The 1,903-nt window shown below is 50.5% G+C and overlaps 1 pseudogene; it reads left to right on the top strand.

The window, feature by feature from the left end:
- On the top strand, positions 300-1,562 carry CTBP2P2 (CTBP2 pseudogene 2; annotated as a pseudogene).

Genomic DNA, 1,903 nt, shown 5'->3' with positions numbered 1-1,903 from the left:
GGTGGGGGTCTGACCCAGCAGGGCCTCACACCAGCGAGGTCGCTGGCGCCCCACACGTCTGCAGGGCCTGGCAGAGGAGAAGCCACAAGACCACAAGATATTGGGGTGGACCCCTAGCCTGCGACCAAGGCTTAGAGAAGCAGCAAGTACCTGGCAGGACTGTGTATGAGCCGCCTCCACTCCTAGTGATCGCAGATTTGGGGTGCTAAAGACCTGGAGTCATGGTGTTCCTGACCCCTCTAGTGGACTCTCAAGGAGGTCTGCTGATTATGCAATGGTAGCAGAGTTGCAAGGAAACAGGTTTTGAACCAATGAAGCTGTATTTACTTAAAAAGACGGACCACCCATCATGTGACCTACAGCATTCGTGGACAGATTTACATTGGGTTCATTGTGCCATCAGGCATGCAGTTTCAGCCAAGTTTCCCTAAGCTCTCAGAGGGTTGCTTTAACTTTTGAATCTGAGTTGCAAAGTTCAATAAATAATGGCCCTATGGATAAGCACAAAGTCAAGAGACAGTGATTGAACAGAATTTGTGAAGGGTGAAGGTATCCGCTTTCAGACCGTGAACAGGCCCTTTGCACCCCAGCACCCCCCAGCCCCCAGTGGCACTGCTGGACTGAGGCCACTGCACCGTGGAGATGACTATCCTGAAAAACTTAGCCACCGTGGCCTTCTGTGACACGCAGTCCACACAGGAGATCCAAGAGTAGGTTTAAACGAAGCGGTAGGCACCATGAGGCACCACACCACCACCCTCAACAGGGAGGACTTGGAGAGGTTAAAAGCCCTGAGAGTGACCGTGCAGATAGGCAGCAGCTACGACTATGAGAACATCAGGGCTGCCAGCAAGCTCAGGATCGCTGTGTGCAGCATCCTGTCCATAGCAGTGGAACAGATAGTCAATTCCACTTCCATCTGTACCGGAAGAACAGGTGGCTGTACCAGACGCTGCGGGAAGCGATGCGGGTACAGAGTATGGAGCAGATCCGCGAGGTCAACTCGGGAGGAGCCTACATCTTAGGGAGATGGTGGGCCTCATCGGCTGCAATTGCAGGGGGCAGGCAGTTGCTGTTCTATCCAAGGTCTTTGGATTGAGTGTCATATTTTATGACCCCTACTTGCAGGATGGGATAGAATGGTTCCTGGGCCTGCAGAGGACCTACACCCTGCAGGATTTGTTGTATCAGAGACACTGCGTCTCCTTACACTGTAATCTCAATGAACATCACCACCACCTCTTTGATGGTGATGGTGACTTTACTATAAAGTAGATGAGGCAAGAGGCATTCCTTGCAAATGTAGCCTGGGGCATCCTGTTGGATAAGAAAGCCTTAGCTCAGGGCCCTCAAGGAGGGCAGGAAAGGAGAGGCAGCCCTCCAAGTATATGAATAGGAGCCCTTCAGCTGTGTTCCTGGTCCATTGAAAGATGCACCAAATTCTATCTGTACTCCCCACACCGCCTGGTATAGTGAGCAAACATCACTAGAGACAAGGAAGGCAGCTGCCACCAAGATCTGCGAAGCCTTCACATCCCAGAAAGCTTAAGAAACTGTGTGAAGGGTTGGGCGTCATGGCACAGCCCAGTAATCCCAACACTTCGGGAGGCCAAAATGGGTAGATTACTTGAGCTCAGGAGTTCCAGACCAGGCTGGCCAACATGGTGAAACCCCGTCTTTACAAAATATACAAAAATTAGCTGGGCATGTTGGTGTGTTCTGGTAATCCCAGCTACTCCGGAGGCTGAGGCACAAGAATCGTTTGAATCTGGTAGGCGGAGGTTGCAGTGAGCTGAGATTGCACCACTAAAACAAAAAAAAAAAAAAAAAAAGAGAGAGAAAAAAGAAAGAAAACTGTGAACAAGGAATTCTTTGTCACATGAGCTCCTTGGTCAGTAATAAA

The sequence above is a fragment of the Homo sapiens genome, chromosome 10 (assembly GCF_000001405.40).
Source record: "Homo sapiens chromosome 10, GRCh38.p14 Primary Assembly".
Lineage (NCBI taxonomy): Eukaryota > Metazoa > Chordata > Mammalia > Primates > Hominidae > Homo > Homo sapiens.
This window is presented reverse-complemented; position numbering and strand designations above follow the sequence as displayed.